The following is a 21,521-nucleotide window of genomic DNA, read 5'->3' as shown; positions in this document are numbered from 1 at the left end:
ATGCATGCATTTATTTATCATGCTGTTCTGCTCATACTTCACATCGGAAAACTCTGGGCTTCCAGCACCCTGGCCCCAGACAGAGTGACCCCTCCCTTCCGTTGTTGTGGTTGTCTTCCACCTGGTGGCCTTGCTCCATCCTTGCTGCCCTGTGTCTATTCTTTGCACAGAGAGATTTCTCTAAAATATAAGTCAATGAAGTCCCAACTCTGCTCAGAATCCTGAAAATAAAACCCAAAGTCCTTCCAACATCGATGAGACCCCCTCTTATTTTGCCCCACCTGCATATGTGACCTCATGTCCTGTCATCCTTTCTTCCCTTTCCCCTCCCCAGTTCTTCCCCAGACATGCCCAGTGCCCTCCCACTGAAAGGCTTTTGCATTTCCAGTGCTTCTACCCTGAGTACTCTTTGCTGTATGATGTCATGGCCCCCTCTCCCACTGTATTCCCATCACCTCCTCAGACTCTCCTGTTGCTCGCTGTAAAATCTTGCTTTCAACCATGCTTTTCATCCCCCACAACCTGCTTTATTTCCTTAGCATTATTTTATTGGCACTTGACATATTATATGTCCATGCATTTGCTTTTGGGCTGTTTCCCCACTGCAACTTCCACAAAGGCAGAAATTGTTTCGTGCCCTCTTCTAGATCCTCACTGCCTAGCCTTCTGCTGGGTATTTAGTAGTTGCTTAATAAATATTGATTACATGAATGAATGTTTATACACCCCCTCTTTTCCATAGAATGGGAAGTCCTTAGTTGTCCAGGGTCCTTCTCCAAATCCCCAGTTCCTAGCACAAGATCAGAGACATGGTAGTACTTCTCCAAAGCCCTGTGCCTAACATAGGGTGGCACATGGAAGGGTCTCAGTACGTGCTACTTGTCTTGAACTGTGGAATACGTTCCTGGCTCTTGACAATGAAGCTGAAGGTCTTAATTAACATCCTCCTGGAAACCTGTCAGAATGTTATGGGATTTGAACACTGCTAGTGAAAAAAGCAGTGAAATAAAATAAAATAAAATCACAGTCTTGGAAAACTCTGAGCGTTGCATGCATCCTTAATAGATCTCAATTTTGAGCTTTCTCTCCAGGGTATGGAAAGTTCAGAGCTGCTAAATAGTCAAATATATTTGTTGAGAAAAAAATCCATATGAACAAAGAACACAATAAACATCCTTAATTAGGAGTAGAATAGGCAAGTAAAGGGAGCTGGCTCTGATGTGTGCCATAGTTAGCAACACTGGGAACACAAGCACCTCAGCCTTTTCCCCCTTCAGTCAGGAATGAAGAACTTGATTTATATGAATGCTCACTTATTAGCAACAAGATATCTTGGTTTACCATTAGGTGGCAAAGACATGCCTCAGGAATGAATAGCTAATATTTATTAAGGATTTCTACTATGCTCATTATTAGAGCTGACTCTTTCACCTCACCAAAAAAAGTTATGATCAATGTGCGATATGATCTTTGTCCTCGAAGGATCAGTATTCGTAGGTAGCTCCATCCAAGAGAGCTTTCTGCCATGGAGATGTCCTATATCTGTGCTTTCTGATATGGCAGCCACTAGTGAGAAGACAGGTGGTCAATAACATCAAGAAACTGGATTTTTAAAATGTATTTGATTGTAATCGATGTACATTTAAGTACCCCTGTGGCTAGCGGCATTGGATAGCAGAGTTCTAAGGTAAATAGAACTTAGAAAGGACTCAAAAGTACTGGTGGTCAGCTTGGCAAAGTGGATCAGAATCTGAGTGCCCTGGTGATCAGGGAGTCTGAATTCCATGTCAACTTTAATTTACTTCCTCCATTGATATACTCAACCTCTCTGTGGCTCAGTGTTCTTATCTCTAAAGTGGAGATACTAATAATTCCTACCTTATGGGTTGTTCAAATAATTAACTGAGCTAATATGGATAAGACATGCGGGATAGTACCTGATACATAGAAAGCCCTTTGTAAATGCCATATAATTAGGAGAATTATTTATAGAAGTGGGGGGCTAAGGGGTGGGTTATTTGTTGATCAGTTATATCTCTTCATGCAATTAAATATTGACAAATATATGCCCCAGTTCTCACTAATCCGATACACATTACTGATGTCCTATTCTGGGTACCAGGTGACAGGAACACAGGTGTCCACACAATGCTGCTTTTGTCCTCAAGGTGCTGACAATCCAGCAGAGATGACCAGAATGTAAACAGAACATTTTAATTTGTTCATTTATTCATCAAGCATTTACTGAAGACCTACCATGTGCCAGCCATGTCTTCACCTCTGGGAATATCTTGGGAATTTCTTGGGAATTTCTTAGTGAACAAGATAGCCAAGGGCCCCCATTCTTACTGTGCTTAGAGTCTAATGGCAGAGACAGGCAATCCATCAGTCAATCAATCAAGAAGAGTTCAGTGCTCCATAAAAAAACATTAAAGAAGGATAGAGGCTGAGTAGCCTTGCAAACTTCTCCAAAAAGGCAAGATTTACCCGAAAAGTCAGGGTGATGAGGACTCTGCTATAAAAGGTGACAGGTAAGGTTTCCAGGTAGATGACGCTGAGCCAGGATGCAGATTGCCTCAGGTGGGAGGCAGTGGGGAGGTGGCACAGACTGAATGGCAGCCATGGGGGTGGGAGGGTGAGCGAACTCATTTCAGATATATTTGGGAATAGAGTCAACAGAAAGAACTTGCTTCTGGATCTGATGTGAGTAGTGAGGCAAAGAGAGAAATAAGGCTGCCTGTGATTTTGGCTGGAGCTTCTGGGTGGTTCTGTGGACTGACATGAGGAAGGAGAGGCAGAACAGTATTACATGGAAAAGCTAGAGGTCTGTGTGGACTCTTTGGTTAGGTTGAACGTGCTTCCTCTAATCCTAGCACTTTGGGAGGCCGAGGTGGGAGAATCACTTGAGGCAAGGAGTTTGAGACCACCCTATGCAATATAGTGAGACCCCTGTCTCTACAAAATATTAAAAAAGCATACCCAGGTGTGGTGGTGTGTACCTGTAGTCCCAGCCACTTGAGAGGCGGTGGCGGGAGGATCGCTTGAGCCCAGGAGGTCGAGGCTGCAGTGAGCGAAGATTACACCACCGCACTCCAGGCTGGGTGACAGAGAGAGACCCTGTCTCTGTTTTTTTTTTTTTTTAAAGTTTAACATGCTTATTAGATGCCTAAATGAAGGCAGAGTGGTGTTATTCCAGAAGTAGCCAGGTTTTAGATGGTCAAGAAGTAAGGGGAGTGTTTAAAGAAGGTGAGAAGGGATGTATTGGATTAAACCACTGGGCAGTGGGAACTGGAACAGGTCAGGAGACCCGGCTCATAATGGGTGGAGGCCAGGGAACAGCAAATACTTCCTCAATGAGGACACTCAGAGGAGTTTTAGTTACCGGAAAGCATTAGGAGTGGAGTCGAGGGTGAAGCAATGCCTTCCTGGAGTTAACGGCTCCTTCCAACGCTCCGTATAAGGAGCTGGCAGATGAAGCCTCTGTAGGCAGATCGCGTTTGAGACTTCACTGCATGCCTGGTGCTGTTCAGGCATCTGAACATTGCCCTCCTTAGCATCTATGGCCAGGAAGGTTTTCTGAGATTTCTTTCGTGTAAGAAAATGATGAGCGTTCCTACAAGGATTTCTGTGAATCTATATAAAAGAAAAACAAAGCAAAACCAAACATCAGCAGCTTCTTACTCACGTGTAAAGCCACACGATGGATTTGATGCATTTTTGTCCTCAACATTGACCCGCTATTTTGCTGCCATGTCAACAACCACTTCTTGCTCAGAGGGGCAACTGTGACTAAGCAATTCTAAATGGAACGTATTTCTCATTTTAAATGTGTCTCTTCCTTTCCACTTAACATTCTATCACAAGCATGTCTCCACGTGGCTGCGTCGGTTGAGATCCACTGCGATTTTATGCTTCTTGAGGCTGAAGCTCTTAGTTTCCTATATTTACATGAAAAGCTACTTATCTAAAAATTACGCTTCCACTTGCATTAAAGTTGTTTCTATTTTAGTTTATTTTCTCTGATTATACAATCATTATTGAATCTTTGTAGGAAATTTAAATGCAATGTGCAAAGAGAATAAAATATCGTCTATATTCCCTCCATATTATCTCATTACATTTCACTGATGGCCTATGATGCAATTTCACAATGTTTTAAAATTTATTTTTCAAAAGGCATTGTATAAACATATTTTAAATGTTTGGGTAGTACACAGAGTATACGTTGAAAGACAGATCTCTCTTCCTCTGGCCTTGAACCTGTTCACCTACCAGTTGCGACATTTCTTACAAGTTGATGTTTAAATTTGCAGGAGTGTCTGCCTACCCGGGCATGCATCTTGTATCACCCATGTCTATCTTGCTCTTTTTTATTTGTCTATATATATCTGGGTACACTTTATGCATTTTTTCTGTTATTCTGCTTTCTCCCCCTCAATATTGGAGATCATTCTGAATTGAACTTTCAGATTTACTGAATTCTTTTCAAAATAGCTGTGTTATTTCAATGCATGGAAATACCAGAATGTAACCAGTCTTTTTTCAAAAATTGTCCGTGATGAACAAATTACCTTAATTTTCTGACATCTATTGTTTCCACTGAGGGCACTGTCAATCTAAATGTTATCCTCTGAAGGTCATTTGTTTTTGCTGTTTGCCTTTAAGATTAATTTTGTCCATGATATTCTTCCCTTTCTCTGTGATGCATTCAGATGTGGACTTTTACTTATATTGTTTTGTACTGAGTTTACACCTTTTATCTCGGGACTCATATATTTCTTAATGTTTGAAAACATTCAGCTACTGTCTCTTTAAACGTTCCTCTCCACCACAATCTTGAACTCCTGTTGGACACATATTGGAACTTCTCAAACTTTCCTTTAAGTATTTTAATTTTCCCATCTCTTCATCTCTCTGAATTCTGGTTAATTCCTCAGCCTTATATTCTCTTTCAAAAATTCCCTTTTTGATTGTGTCCTGTGTGCAATTTAAATATTGGGTTTTCCATGAGAATTCTATATTTTACAATTGTGGGTTTTCTAATTGCTTACTACCTCTCAGTTCATATCAATCTGTCTGTTTTCTTTTAGTCTTCTGTCTAGCTTTCTGTATGCTATTCATTCTTATCACTTTGAGAACTTTATTCTTATATTTAGAGTCTTTTCCCAATTACATAATTATTTCTATTTCCTTATGAAAATACATCTTCCCTTAGTTGTATTTAGGTAACTTTTATGATGTCAGCTTTCCTCATGTGCCTTGAAATTTTAATCTGTACACTCTTGTTAAATGAAGTTTTTAAATCTCTGATCTTATCCCTCTCTGAGTCATTGTTTTAGGGGGGTCTCCCCCACCTTTCTGGGGCCTCTGCAGCATGAACGAGCGTGCTTCTTGGCTCTCCTCAGCTTCCCATCTCTGAACTTGAAGAGTAGAAAGACTAAGTCTCAGCATACTGTCGAAAGATTGAGTATACTGGATTTGAGATTGTTTACCTGGGAGTGTAGTTGAGTATATTTTATGTATGCAAAGACAAGTGAAATGGGTATTAGCTGTACAGAAAGGTGGAGCATGCTGGGACTAGGTAGGTGTTCCACACACCTTTCCCAGAGCACATGGCTAGACTCTGTTTTCCTGCAGTCTTTGCAGCTACTTAGAGCCCTGCAGCTGGGTAGAGGTCAGTAGACTGCAGGGAGGGAAGATGCACATCACTTCCACAGCTGGCTCACACAACTTCCTATTTGCCATTTTCCCTTCTCCCTTCCCTCATCTGCACACTGAATGCCCATCCCGGAGCCCCCTTGGGAGTCACATGTCGGAGATTGTTGAGCCCCCAACAGACTTGGTCCCTGCAGGTCTGGGAGTTGAGTCCCCCACTTTCACCAGCACTACTTTTTGTGATTGAGAAATCTGCTTCTTTTGTGTTGAGTCATTGAGACTTGGAGGCTTAGTTGCACAGTAATAAACCCAACGCCTGCCTTCTTTGTCCTTGTGGGCTTATGCCTTTAAAAACATTACTTCACTGTCATTGGAGTGGCGTTCCAGGAAGGAACATGTCCAAGTCACCCTGGTGAAGCAGCATTTCTCTCCATTTGCTTTCTCACTCTGCTCTGGAAGTCTGAGAGCTCCCTCATTGTGTTTTTGAGTGCATGAATTTATTTGTTTGTTTTCAAAATAGCTTTACTATCATTTCTATGGATTGGGTGCAGGGAGGGGGAAGCTCAGATTGCCATCTTCAAACTAGTTTAGTGTGCTGCTGGAGTCTATTTGCTAATATTTTATTTAGGATTTTTCATCAATATTCATATGTGAGATTCGTCTGTAGTTTTACTTTATCCTCTCTGTCAGTTTTAAAATCAATGGTAGACTGGTTTCACAAAAGGAATTTAGAAGCTTCTCTTCTTTCTCTATGCTCCCAAAGAGTCAAAGAACATTGAAGTAATGCATACCTTAAAATTTGAGGATTTCATTGGTAGAACTATCTCAGCCAGGGATTTTGGGAGGAGCAGCTTTTTAAAAAAAGTCTTCAATTTCTTTTACGGAACTATTTATATGCAGAAAGTCTATCCATCTGAGATCAACTTGTTTATTTATGATTTCTTAGAAAACCACCTATTTCGTAAAGAATTTCAAGCTTATTTGCATAGCATTAAGCAAATTATTTTCTTATGTGTCTTTAATTTCTATTATTTTTCTGGGTTTTTTGATATTCATATTTTCATGTAGGTATTTATACTTTCAAAGAAAGATTTGTATTCTTGACTATCTTATTTAAGGTTTTTTAAAAAAATTATTGGTTGTTAAGCTCTTAAATGTACTTATTCTTTCTATCATTTTCTATTTTCAATTTCATTACTTTTTGTTTTTATCATTTGCATTCCTTTTGTCTGCCTCAGCTTCTATTAGATTTCTTGCATTTACCTTTTCTCTTACCTCTTCAATTGAATGTTTCCTATAGTTTTATTAATTTATCCTTGCAATATAAAAAAATTAAATTATTTTAAGGCATTTTGTTCTGAAGGTAGTTTTAACAATAGCTTGTTGGTTGGTGTTTGTATAATTGTAATTTATGTTATATAGATATTCTGTATTTTGCAGCTGAAACTCAGGCATCTGGGCCAAGCATCACTCATAAAATACATGTTTGGAAGTGAGCATTCCTTAAATCAAAGAAATTTTTTAAAATGCAAAAGTTAGCCATTGGAGGAATGTGAGACTAGTAGGTGAGGCAGAGAAAGTTTCTGGGACAGAAAGGGCTTTTCTGCTTGTGGAATTTGTAGTGGTAAGAAAGAAGATTTCTTTATCAGGTCACTTTATGATTATCATTTTGAGGATCTTTCCTGTAAGCATGTCCACTAGTGTGGTTCTTCAGACCTGCTTGCAATTCTGTGACCTGACTATCAAACAAGCTCCTTGTTGTACTTCATCAACCAGAGATAGCTTCTGTTGTTGTGGCTTTGAACCCAGACTGTTTTAGAAGCATACGAATCGATTCTATAAATTCTGTCACTTCATATATAGTATATTAAATATCCACAAATTATATTACATTATTTAGTTTTTCTGTATCCTGACTGACTTTTTTTAGTTTTTTAAAGATTTTTAATTTTAGATGATTGCAGATTCTTACTTTCATTTTATTTTACTTTATCTGATTTAAATTTCTACTCTTATGGGCTGAGAGAGATGCCTTAAAATCTCCTAACGGTATTTTTTCTGTCTCTTCTTACACTTCTTATATCTTTGTTGATTGATTTTGCTGCAGTTTTAATTGTTGCATACTTATTCAAAACTGCCACATCTTCATTGTGGCTTCTTTTTTTTTTTTTTTTTTTGAGACAGAGTCTCACTCTGTCGCCCAGGCCGGACTGCGGACTGCAGTGGCGCAATCTCGGCTCACTGCAAGCTCCGCTTCCAGGGTTCACGCCATTCTCCTGCCTCAGCCTCCCGAGTAGCTGGGACTACAGGCGCCCGCCACTGCACCCGGCTAATTTTTTGTATTTTTAGTAGAGACGGGGTTTCACCTTGTTAGCCAGGATGGTCTCGATCTCCTGACCTCATGATCCACCCGCCTCGGCCTCCCAAAGTTGTGGCTTCTTTACTCAAGAAAAATTGCCTTACATTAACTTCTTTAAAACTCTGTGCCTTGAATTTATCGTTATCTGACATTTTAAGGTTAGTACCTGCCTTGGAGTGTGTATGCATGAGTGTGGCTGTATATGGTTGTGTTTCTTCTATTAGTAATCATTTGGAAGGACTATTGTGTGTTTTCATTTCTTCTAGTAGTTATGTTTGTAGCTATAAATGTATAGAACACACAGGATTTTTACTTCTATAGGCAGAATTTATTGACTTTCCCCTTTCAAACACACACACTGTGGTGTTCTTGATTTTCTCTCCCTAATCACCATCGTCCCCCCTTCCTTCCTGTACTACTAGTTTTGATTAGTTGTACTATAATTTTATTTCTTCAAGTGAATGCTTTACACTTTTAATATAATTTATATGTTTTTCTGAATTTATTAGCTTTAAAATTATATATATTGATTGTCCAACCATCCCCAAAAAAGATGATGAGCTTGGCATTCATATAATATCTGTCCCCCTCTTTCTTTTCCTTCCAATTTTTGATAGTTTACATGTCATGGTTGAGAGTATACACTGTATTCAATAGCAAAATTTCCCCACAGCTGTGTAATATTTTTAAAAATTAATTATTTAGGTTAAATTAATAACAATCTTTAATTCTTTTACAATATCGTCTTCCTTTATTCCTGGATTGGTGACAGCATAGCTTTTAATAATTTCTCTAAGAAGAGATCATGGAATCTCTTTCTTGAGTTGTTAATGTTTAAAAATGACTATCTTTTGCCTTGCTCTATAAGAACATTTTGGCTAGGTATAAAATTATTGCATCACACTTTTCCTGAGGACTCTGAAGACACTGTTCCATTCTTTTATAGCACTGAATCTTTCAGGGAAAAGTTTAAAGGCGGATTCTTATTAGTTTTTATTCTTGTAGATGAATTGACTTTTTCTTTCTAGCTACAGAGTTTTGTTGGTATTTTTGAGGTTTAATAAGTATAAAATGTGCCTCTCTGTTCAAGGATCTGCCTCAATTCATCTGGGAATTGGTTCTTTCAATATGTAGATTCAAATTTTTATTTCAAAAATATTTTCTTTACTTCACATCTTTAAGTAATTTTAGTGTTCTATTTGTTTTGCTCATTAATCCAGTCACCAATTTCACATATCTTGGTTCTCCTTTGTCAATTTTTATATCCATCATTTTCTTTTCTATAAGTTTAAACTTTTGGTAACTTTTTTTCTATTTTATTTTCCTCAGTTTCCTCAAGCATGTCCTACATGCTGAAATCATTGCTGTGGCAAAGTCTATTTCTTATTTACTGCTTCCAAAATGGCCTTTACTTATTTGATAATTTTACTTTTATTTTTCTCTTCTATTTTGTCTTGATCTTTGCCAATTCATTTTTTCAATTTTATTTCATTGTCTTTTATTGTAATTTGGTTCTTATATTTCTGCTTTGATCTTTTATTTCATAAATGCCATAATTTCTTTTAAAGAGTCAATGCTAGGGTCCACTGTTGTCTTCCTGAATACCCAATTTTTTCTGAAGTATGTTTATTGCCTACTCTCTTTTGCCATGTTTTTCTTACTCCATACCTAGGATTTTGGAGGATTGCCTTGTTGGTTATTTCTCTTTGGTTTTCCCTTGTTTTCAAATAGGGTCATTCCTCCTGGATGGGCTACATGCTGCTGGAATATGTGTGAGAGAAAGGCCAGGAGAGGGAGGTAAACTTGAGGTCAGCTTGAGGGTGGGAGGAAAAATTTGAGTGTTGATCTGTTGCCTGTGGAGACTGTCCCATCGTCTCCTTATTTTTTGAAGAATACATGGTTTCCTGGCTATGCTATGGTAGCTGTCCTGTCTCAGCAACCTCACGTATGCTGGGTCAGTTTTCTTTTCAAAACATCTTTCCTGTCTTTATGGAAGATACAATTTGTTTTTTTCTCAGCCTCCTTATTTTTTGAAGAATACGTGGTTTCCTGGCTATGCTATGGTAGCTGTCCTGTCTCAACATCCTCACGTATGCTGGGTCAGTTTTCTTTTCAAAACATCTTTCCTGGCTTTATGGAAGATACAATTTGTTTTTTTCTCAGTCTCCTTATTTTATGTTGTTTCAGAAACAATAAAGATTGAAGCACCTATACGATACACTTTTAAAATGGACCATTCTCCCTCCTTGTTTAATCATTCTTGTAATGCTGTGTTGTTTCTCATTTTGGACTTTAAATAATTCTGTGATAAATCTTAAGGTATAATGTTTCATCCATATAAGAGGTTCTTTATTTGGGGCAGATGCCTACAAATGAAATTACCAGGTATAGATATGAACATTCTTCAGGCTTCTGATTTATGTTTAGAAATTGCTATTTACAAATTTTTCTTTACATTTCTTCCAAAAATGTACCAGAATGTGTCAGAATTACTTCATCTTCCCTCTCCAAACACTGACCAGTTGTATTAAACAAGAACAACAACAACAACAAAATCTCTTTATCAGCTGACAAATATCATGGTATATTTTCTTTATTTACTGGTAGATTTAATTATTTTAAAAAATGATTTTTTTCTTTTGTGTGTTTGAATTATCTGCCCATATTCTCCACCCATTTATCCAACATATCTATTCTCAGTTTGTGTTTTTTTAAATAGGAAGAGTGATATATTTGCATAGTTGTTAAAATGATGTCATTCTGTTTGCTTTAATTTTCTTTATGACATATTTTACTTCAGAATTTTATATTTTCATGTAGTAAAATTGATTTTTAAATTTTTCAGTGATTTTTTTCTTTGTTTTAAGTCTTAGGAATCCCTCTCCTATTTAGGGAATAGATAAAAGTTTGGTAATTTCTTTTAGCTTATTGAGAGTTCGATGTTTTTAAATTTTTTAATTCTTTATTTCACTTAAACTTTTGTTTACTTGATTTTGTATTCTATGTTCACTTAACATTATGTTAAGTGTGTAACCTTGCTATTAAAGACTTTGCTTTATGACTATTTTTCTACACAATAATCTCTTGTGGGATATGTCATAATTTATTTGACCCTATTATTAGCTGTTTAGATTGCTTCTGAGACTTTTACTATTTTAGAGTATACTGTAATAAAAAATATTCCAAATAATTATTTTCTCCATAGTTTGCATTATTTCATTTCTATTAAAAGTGTGATCTACAGGACTAAAGTTATAAACATAATTAAATCTTTTGAGACAGATGACTTTGCAAATGGGGTTTTCCATTTTGTAATCTGATCAATAGTATTGTCTGGAGAGTTTCAACACAGAATTCCCTGAGGTGATCAGGCTGTTTAGCCTGGCATGTTAACTAGTATTCCCAATCTACTACATTTTCTTTATCAATTTCTAGTATGCAAAAGCTGTTGTTGCTTTGCCAACCATTTATTTTCTCATCATTTATAGAGGAAAACACTGGGGCCAAGGAATGCTCAACCCCTCTTCCCAGGCTGACAGCCAGAAATTGGGCTAGTGAACCTACGAGCCATGTTGTCTGATTCGTACTCTTTCCCCGTCTCATTGCCTCTTAATGACAAACACAAGCCCATTGACCAAGAGGCCAAGGCAAGAGATGATTTTAAAGCTCAGAGGGATCTGCATGCCCAACAATATTCAAGAGAAATATCAGCCACCCATCTATGCAACAGCAGAAGCATTTGGAAAATTTCTTGAGAAGGAAGCTGCCTTTTGCTGTCTCCCCAAAGTCCTTATGATATTCAAGAAATCTTCGAGCAGTTGCTCCTGAAAATTTTGTGAGGTGAAAATCCCAAGAATTTGGCCTGGCTTTAATCAAATATTTATGATGCCCTCATTAGTCTCCAGTCCAAGGGTGGTACAGGCTCTCATTTGAATTTCTGAGCAGTTAGAGAGTTTTGAAAAGAAATGTCATATTATATGCACTGTTTATATAGATGAAATATGCATGTGTTGGTTTTGCAGACTGATGTCATTGCTGCTGTTGTTTACCAGTGCAGTGATAATGGGGTGCACCAGGACCCTCCATGCTCCTCACTGCAGATCCTGGGGAACATCTGGGCTGTGGTGGGCTGGGGGAGGCCACCTCATGGCACTTGAGGCTTTGTGGGGGGCCAAGGGATGTTAGGAGGGTTCCCGTCACGGCATTGCCTGGCAAGTTTGGCTGGTGTGTGATAATGAGGTGACATTCACACCAACCAGGCAATGGGGGAGGGGGGGGGCGGAGAATATTCCAGGCAGAGAAAGCCACTTCTATAACAGGCTGGAGGCCACAGAGAGCAAGGTGAGTCTCAATAATTGAAGGTTCAATGTAGCTGGAGAATGCATAATGGAGGAGTGACTGAAGGGGACCCAGAAAGGAATGCAGGGGCTGGGATCTGAGTGGCCTTGTAGGTTCTTCAAGAAATTTAGGCGTTATCCTTGGGGCAATGGGAAGGCATCTGTGGGTTTATAGCTAGCGAGTGACATCATCTGGTTTATGTTTTAAGAAGATTACTCTGGCTGTTGTGTAGACACGGACTGGCAAGAGAGAAAGCTGAGACAGAGGAACAAGGTAGGAGGCTCAGAATTCCTGGAGGTAATGACAGAGACATGGAGAAGCGTGGTGGCCATGGAGAGGCTGAGGAGGGCATGCATCGAGTTAGGTTCTAGAATCAACATGATTCCGTGGCTATGTGGGTATGTGGGGTGAGGAAGGAAGACACTTCAGTGTTGATTCATTTGTTTCAGTTTAGGTGACGATTTCACGAGACCTCTAGAGCACCAGGTGAGACAGTTCGAAGAGGAATATGAGGAGCTTGTCCAAGAGAATCTTGAGTTTGAGTTGCCTGTGGGCTGCCCTAGAGGAGAGTCTAAGTGGACTGTTGGGTGTACAGATCTGGAGCTCAGGAGGAAAAATGGGGGCCTATACAGGCGTGTGTAGATTTGGAAGCTGGAAGTGGAGGATCTTCTTATCCTGTGACTTCTCTTTTCTCTGAGAGGAAACAGAGGCTTTCCTAAGCATGAGCCTGGAAGTCTTGGAAGGCACAGAGGTGCGAGGAGAGAGCTAGCTGTGGGGAACAAAGCCACGAATGACACCAAGCGCCCTTACATTGAGCAGCTTGTACTCTAGTTGAGGATGCAGGTAAGTGGCAGATGGCTCCATCAGAGGTGAGGAGGGCAACGGAAAGGGCAGGAAAAGAAGATAATGAGGGGGCATCTCACCCCAACTCCAAGAGGGCAGGTTGAAAAGAGGAGAGGAGTCTAGAACAAAACCAAAACTAACAAGTCAAAAACACACACGCACACACACACACACGCACACACAAAAACGAACAAACCAAAAAAACCCTCAAACCCAAAACACCCTAACATTTGATTTGGGATTTAAAGGATGAGAGGGTTTTATTCAGGTGGGGTGGGTACCTGGAATGGAGACAAAGCCTATTCACCTGGGAAGCTGCCACCACAGCACATGACTAAGAGCTCAGGAGTGAACAGGTGATCAATATTTATTAGAAAGGAAGTAGAAAAGAAAGGAAGGAGAGAGAGAGAGAGACGGGGCGGGGGCGTGAACAAAAGGCAGGAAGAAAAAGACAGAAGAAAGAAAGAAAAGGAAAAATAAGGAAAAATGAGGAAAAAGGAAGAAAGAAAAGGAGGGAGGAAAAAAGGACAGAAGAAAAGAAGGAAAGAAGAAAGGAAGAGGAGGAAGAAAGGGAGGGAGGGAGGAAGGGAAGAAGGAAGGGAGGAAGGATGGAAAAGGAGTTAGGAAGCCAGGGAAGGTGGAAAGTCAAAGGAAGGAAGGAAAAGAGGATAATGAACTAAGGACTTAGTCAGAATGAAGGTCAGTGAGGCTGGAGAACTACAAGGCAGGGTGATGCAGGGCCTGGTGGATCCAGGTGAAGTGTTTAGACTTTACCTGAGGTCAAGGGAATCTCACGGATGAGCTGACTCCAGAAGGAGACATGGTTACATTTGCAGGCACTTGCTAATGTTTTAACAGGAGGATTAGAGCCTCTTTTGGCAAATTCATGAAAGTGGTAAATGTTTAGATTTTTGTCAACCAGTGTTTCCAGGTCTTTGTTTAATGCAATTTCTGCAAAAGAATAGGATCTGTGAAAGTTGAGGTCTAAGGCAGCTGTCACCAGGAGGAGGCTGAAGGGCTCACAGGTGTATGGCAGGGAGGACTCCCACAGGCCACACAAGCCCTTCCCAGCACCCCTGCCCACCCCACACTCAGGGAGGGTCCTGGTAGGAGGACAACCAGAATGGGAAAATGAAGAAGGTGTGGAGCTGTGCCACTCCCTAGGGCAGAGAGTGGTCAGGGCTTTCCCATCTTGGCTCTGTCTGATTGGTGGCAGGGTGGGTGCCTTGGTAAGGAGGCCTGAATGTGTTAAGAAAGTTCTCTGTCTCTTTTCTCTCCATCTTCCTTTTTTTTTTTTTTTGAGACGGAGTTTCACTCCTGTTGCCCAGGCTGGAGTGCAGTGGCACGATCACGGCTCACTGCAACCTCCACCTCCCGGATTCAAGGGAGTCTCCTGCCTCAGCCTCCCAAGTAGCTGGAATTACAGGCATGGGCCACCACACCTGGCTAATTTTTTGTATTTTTAGTAGAGACAGGGTTTCACCACGTTGGGCAGGCTGGTCTCGAATTCCTGACCTCAGGTGATCCACCTGCCTTGGCTTCCCAAAGTGCTGGGATTACAGGCGTGAGCCATCACGCCTGGCCCTTCCTTTTTTATTAACCTACAGAGAGAGCGATGTAGTGTGGAGCTAGACCTGCCTTTTCCTTGGGAAGTCCTCACTTAATCAAAAGAACACAAGCTTTGGAGAAAGGCAGCCCTGGTTTCTAATCTCAGTTTTGCTTCCTTTTACTACTTGTGTGTGACACAGGATGGATTATTTTTCAAGGTTTCGTATGTGTGTGTGTGTGTGTGTGTGTGTGTGTGTGTGTGTGTGTGTGTATGTTTGGCTCTTAAAGAACAATCCTTTTTCAATCAGAGCATGACTGTGAGGCTGCAATGCTTAGCATTCAGTGGGCATTAAAAAAATATTCATTCTTGTCCTCACCCATCTTGGGACTTGCTTTTGTATCTAGGGATCCAAAAAGGTTCTAGAAGTAGGAGCAGGGAGGCAAAGCCTTTTAGAAAGAGAGCAGTTAAGGAAACAGGGTATACCTTTGAGGTCAGCTTATCTGTTAGAAGAGAAGTCAGAGAGTCACTGTTTGTAGTTATGAATAATTTATGTATAAACCACATAGTCATATGGATGTTTTTCTCCTCACTAACTCCAGTGAATCCAACAGAACTCAAACGTATTTATCAGGGTCTTTACAATGGCCTAGATAAATAGTGATTAGAATCAACAAACTAAAAATAAATAGGAAAAGACCCAGCTCCTGACCTAGGGATCTCCCACTGTAGTTGGAGATAGTCATAAAAGTTTCCTACCTGCATACTTGCTAAACGAAAGATAACATAGTTGAATGTCAAGAGCGTACCATTAGAGGCCAGTACTCAGAGCCCCGAGGGGTCATGACCAACTTGCATGAGGAAGCTGGGAAGATCTCACAGCAGAAGAAACCTTTGAGTTGGATCTTGCGGGACGGGAATGGGAGGAGGACATGGCAGCGAAGAGTGAGCAAGACCATAAGGTTGGAGACCTGGTTTTCAGCTCCCCCGCCCTGTAGACTTGTGTTGAATGTGCAGGGGAAAAATTAAACTCTTTGCCATTGGTTTTCCCATCTGTAATGAATACACCTGAGCCTCAGTTTCTACAACATCCAGACCCACACCACTGACCCCATATTGAAAAGAGGAATCCATGTGGTATTAGACTTGAAAATGCTTGGAAAAGCACATCATGCTGCCTCAATGCCTAAGGCCTGGTGAGGAAGTGCCTGGGGCTTCTCCCAGCTATGTCCTCAGGCGTGGTACGTCCATCTTCTCCACAAGCCCACGGGCTCAGTCCTTCATTCCCTCAGTAACTACTACCAGCCTCATTTGTGTTTACTTTCCCTTACGACTGGCGTAGACAAGGCTGCATGTTTGTGAACTCCATGAAGGCCACAATCATATCTGGAATTTTCATCTCTGTGCTCCTTATGCTTAGCTTAGAATCTGACAGGAGTTAGGGATCCATAGATCCGCAGGGAATGGATGAATGAATGGGCGGAAGAATGCATGCTTACATGAACGCAGGCAAGAAGTTGAATGGACTTCCCTAGTGCTTCATTCCCCTGTAGATTCTGAAGCTGAGACCACTGTGCTCTCCTTCCTTTAAAACATATTATTTATTTATTTATCTATTTACTTTTTCTTTTACTGTCTGTGGTTTCTAAATTCCATGGTAGGAAATTTCATCTCCATGTTTCCCATGCCTTGCCTGAAATTTCACTGTAGAAATTCAAAAATTTCTCTACATCCTAATTCACTATAGAATTTTTTTTAAATAAAGAACAGACATAGAAAAACGTTGCTCCTATTTCACTAGACAGGTTAATATTTTGTTCATTTTCTTTATTTTTGTCCTGTGCATGTATCTGAATAGTTACCTACCTATCAATAGCTATCAGTATGTTTTAAAAATTAAATATAATTATACAGTTTTGTTCTTTACTTATTTTCTACTTAGCATTATATCATGAGAATAGTATGCCAATTTTTTTAAAGAAAATTAAAGTTTCATCATATGGTCATATAATTCATTAAATTATTCTTATTTTGTTGGACATTTTAGACAATATTTACCTTTATAATATTATTGACAGAGAGGAAATAAATACACTGCAGCCTAAAGCTTTGAAGGCAATTTGATTGTTTCCTTAAAATGAAAGTTAATGGATTTGGATTAATGGATTAATAGAGATATAATGGATTAATAGAGTCAATATATATAGATAGTTTAAGGCTTGTGGTAGAAATTGCCAAATTGGTTTTCTGAAAAATTGCTTCCATTTACATAGTTTTTCAGCAATAACTGGGCTCATCTTACACAGTCTTCATAGGTCTATGGCCAAAATACAAAAGCAATTTGGAGCTAACTCCAGGGTTTACTGGCTTTAATGCTTATTGTCTGTTCTTAAATGCTATCATTCAGTCCTTAATTTTGCTTGATTGCCATGGTTTTGCATAAATTTTTAACTAAATTTTCAGAGACAGGCTTGTATTGATATGTGTCTTGACCCCTTATCTAGCTGAGAAAAAATGACTGTCTATTTAATTCACACGTGAAAGACAATTTTGCTGGGTATAATACTGTTGGGTCACAAATTTTGCTCCCCAAATCTACGTAGAGTCTAGCTCATGATCTCTGGTCATGTAATCTCAAAAAAGGTAGAATAATCCTGAGCTTTACTTCTTCTTGAGTGATCTGCATTGTATGCTTGGATACTTGTATAACTCATTTTTTTCTTCTCCTTTTAATTCATCATTTTTGCTATTAGCCTCTCTTTTCTTTGATTTTTCTCCCTCTAAATCAGATAGGCTTTCTGACTGCAATGCCCTAGTATCTTCTGAATCCAGTTGTCCCTTCTATTCCTGTGGGCCTGACTTCTTATGCATGATCACCTTTAACTCAAGAGGTCCAACATTTTTCTTGTTTTCATTACCTTGTCTCATCGTCTAATTATTTACAATTCTTTGTCTCTTTGTCTGAAGTCTAAAAGATCTAGTCAAATTTTCTCTATACATCACTGATTTTATTTTTTACAGTGCTAGTTCCACTCTTTAAAACCTTCCATACAGCATCTTTAGTGCTCAGGCAATCCTTCCTTACCACACTTTTCTTCTTTTTATTCTTATTTAGTTGATTTGATTTTGACATTGTTCTTACTTCTGACTTCTGGCTGGCCCCTGATGAAGATGTCCAATAATGCCAGATAATTTTCTTTTTTTAAAATTTGAACATTAAATTGTTCTCTGTGTCCTGAGTTTTCATTGACTATTGAAACTACTGTTTTCTTCCTCCTTTCTTGTGCAGTGTTGTTCTTTCATCAGCTCCTTTTCCTGTTGACTCATCCTCATATGAGGAGTGAGCTCTCTAGACCCTGGGCTGACCAAAGAAAAGACATGTGTTCTACATGTGCTCTCTCTACTATTTCCCAATTCATAAATTATATGTAAGTTGAGCTCCTCAGCGTCAAGTGTCTTCTGTAGTAATGATATGGATAAACACAACAGAAATAGCAACACTACCTATTGTCAATCAAGGATTAACACATGACATTCAATATGCTAAGTTCTTTTTTACATACATGAGCTCATTTTGTGCTTCAAACCACCCTGCCAGGGAAGCATGATCTGTCATAAGGGATTTTGTAGATGAGGACACCAAGAGCTGGCAAAGTGGAGAGCTTGACTGAGGTTGACCATCTAGCCAAGATTGCAGAATCTGGCCTCTAGCCCACCACATGCTATGGAATGAGTCATCCAGGGAGACTGTGTGCTCACATACTCCTTTTCACAGTCCCGTTTGGGCTTAGACTCAGCACACAGATTGTGTGAAAAATGATCATTTCCAGCATACACTGCTACCAGGACCTTCCACCCTCTGTTTCTACTTGATGTGCCTCAATGATGAAGATCATGTCTTCCAGGACCTGTCATATGACCACTGGGTGTCTTGGATTTGACTCACGTGATTTCTGAGAGTTACAATCTGTGAAAAGCTAGAAAATGATAATATGAATGGTAACAGTGGGAATAATTGACCTCTTTTGAGTCTATGATATGGACTGTACTGTGGGAAGTGCTCCATCTATATGAGTCCTATGAATACTCAAAAAAATTCTGAGAGAAAGGTTTTTATGTTCCCATTTCACAGCTAAATACACTGAGGTGGAGCCTGCTGTCCTGATGCCTCTCTTCTTTGGAGTGCAAGGGCAACTGATGGAGGGAGAAAGCAAGAAACAGCAGGGAGATTACCACCCAAAGTTGTGCTGATACTAAAATGAAAGAGCTGTGTGGTTTCCACTTTGGACAGATCTTGTATTTCTGTCCCAGAGGACCCTGGAGGGTGGGTGCAGGGGCTTTCTTCCTAACCTCAGGTAAGTGGGTTTGCTTTATCAGCAGTGGCACAGTAAAGGTAGGCTAAGAATGGCGATGTTTAGTCCTGCTCCTAAGTTCTGCACCCAGCCTTATTCTGGCCAGATTTTCCAGTTCCTAGCTGTAAATGAGGATTTGGTGAGATTTTTTTTTTCTCCATGTTTCTGAGACTCTGATTTCTCTTCAGTGGACTAATGATTTTAATAATATCACCCTTTTGGAGCTGTCAGCCTCAAGTGAAAATTGTGCCAAGCCTTTATCATACTGACTGGATCAAAAATATCAGAGCTCAAAAATGCCTATTGCCCTTACTATTACTATTCTGTGTTCAGAATGACTGCAGTAAGAAGTTGAAGGAAATTCCACCAGAGACTGCTAGTTTGATGCCCTTTCAAAAGCTGAACTAATGCAGGCTAACTTAAAAATCTGTGCAGGCATATGTTCATATGGATTCTAGATTAGTGCTTGGCTCCAGGAGAACCAGACAGGGGTGCAAAATGGAAGGCAGGGACAATGCTAAAGCCTTTAACTGTCATGGCTCCCAAACCTTATTTCCTAACTTTTTTGCTTAGATAGTTCCTGGAACATACTGATTGTGTTTACAAACCTTGTTTATTACAGATTTCACTGTAGCCAAGCTCAACCCTTCAGATCTAAGCACTTTGGCCATTCTGGCCTTATGTTCCAAGGCAGCTCGTTTAATTCATTTGTTCATTCATTCATCCCTCCATCCATCCATCCACTCACTCCATCATCCATTCATTCACCCATCCATCCATCCATCTATCAATCACCCACCCTATCATCCATCCATGCATCCCTCTAGCCACCCATCCACCAATGCATTCATCCATCCACCCACTCATCCATCCATCCATCCACCCACCTACCCATCTACCTGTCCATCCATCCACCCACCCATCCAAAAGACATTAGCTAAATAACTACTGTACACCAGGCCTGGCCCAAGGTGCTAAGGATACACAAGATTCTCAAGATAAAAGTCCCAACATTTGGTTCCTCGTGATCCCACAAGCCTGATGCAGCCAGCAGGGTGGGACAATCTGTAGACACTCAAGTACATTGAGGTGCTTCCTTGAATGAGGGGACAACAGATTTTAGGTGACTTCCCAAATGAATAATACCACCACTCAACCCACCTTACAACATCCTCTTGCACCTTTCTTCAGAGCAAATAAAAATGAAAAGCCCAAAGCACTTCCGTCCCTATCCATCTCTAAATATAGAAATGACAGTGTTGGTCTCCTTGGCCTCTTGGTGTGGAGGTCTGCCTCAGCAGTGATAAGGGCCCTCTCCCCACACCACTTTCCTCTGGATTACTCCAGGTTTTCTTATGCAGCCTGTGCCCATCGGTGCTTTCAACAGCTGTCTCTAGAAGAGATAACTCCGGCATGACAAGCTCTTTCAGAGGGTAGATATTTTTAAAGATTGTCAGGATCCTGCCAGCAGCTCTTATTACTGAGTACTTCGAGGCTTTTCATGGGAACAAAGTTGGGTGCAAATACCTTTCTAACGTGCAGTCTGCCCTGACAGAGAGTGTGCTATTATTACTCCAGGAGGTTAACATCCCACTGGGTTTTCAAGTTGATTCATTACTTTTTTCATGACTTATATTTATTTTTCAGCACCTGTGAAAAAACACATTGATATTTCAATACCCACTATCATCGACTGCCTGTTGTGTGTAAGCACTTGCACTCCTTGAAGGCAATTTTTTTAAAAATAGAAAGTTATTTAAAAGTTTAAAATCAAAAGTGACTTTATATTAGTCATTTTAGCATCTGACTTAAACAGGTGGGTTTTCTTTTGAACCTTCATCCCAATTGAGAATTTGGATTTAAATAGTTCAAAGATGGTATTTTGAATTTAAATTTGAAAAAGAAAGGCCATATTCTGTAGATTTAAAAGAAATTCACCCCCAAATAGATCTCATCTAACTGAGTTCCAGGTTTGTTTACTAAGCATCTGCTGGATGTCTCTAGCTGGAAGTCCCACAGACCATGCAAACTCAGCATGAAAAAAGAAAAATAATTTTCTTCCCTTTCAATCTTGCCTCTTCTCCTCTGTCTCCTTAGTTCTTATATCAGCAAGCTTTCCTATCCAGTATCCAGGGCTAAATGTCCCAGATTCATTTGCAAGCTCCCTCCTCCTTTATCGCTCGTGTTTCTTCTTCATTACAAAATCCTCCTCCCTATGTTTCTAGAACCCTGTCGTTCTCAACTGCGACTCACCAGGAGGGCTTGTTAAGATGCAGTTGCCCTTGCCCCACCTAGAGATCTAGGGCAGGGCCTGGCAGTTGGTATTTTCGCACACTTCCACGGTCATTCTGCTGACCTCAGAGTGTGCGATCTCTCAAGTTTCCCTCTCATGAACCTGGCCAGGCACTCCTCGTCTCTAGTTTCATGT

General features: G+C 40.0%; 1 annotated feature.

Moving 5' to 3' along the window:
• Window positions 9,045-9,214: an enhancer, noted in NCBI's record as "experimental_39017 CRE fragment used in MPRA reporter constructs". NCBI's record gives its function as "activates a minimal promoter by MPRAs in K562 erythroleukemia cells, with activity observed for the non-introgressed 14:99230165 variant allele {active_cell/tissue: K562}" and the evidence as "EXISTENCE:reporter gene assay evidence [ECO:0000049][PMID:34662402]".

This window comes from Homo sapiens, chromosome 14, assembly GCF_000001405.40.
Source record: "Homo sapiens chromosome 14, GRCh38.p14 Primary Assembly".
Classification (NCBI taxonomy): Eukaryota; Metazoa; Chordata; class Mammalia; order Primates; family Hominidae; genus Homo; species Homo sapiens.
The sequence above is the reverse complement of the archived record's forward strand: the minus strand, read 5'-3'. Positions and strand labels throughout refer to the sequence as shown.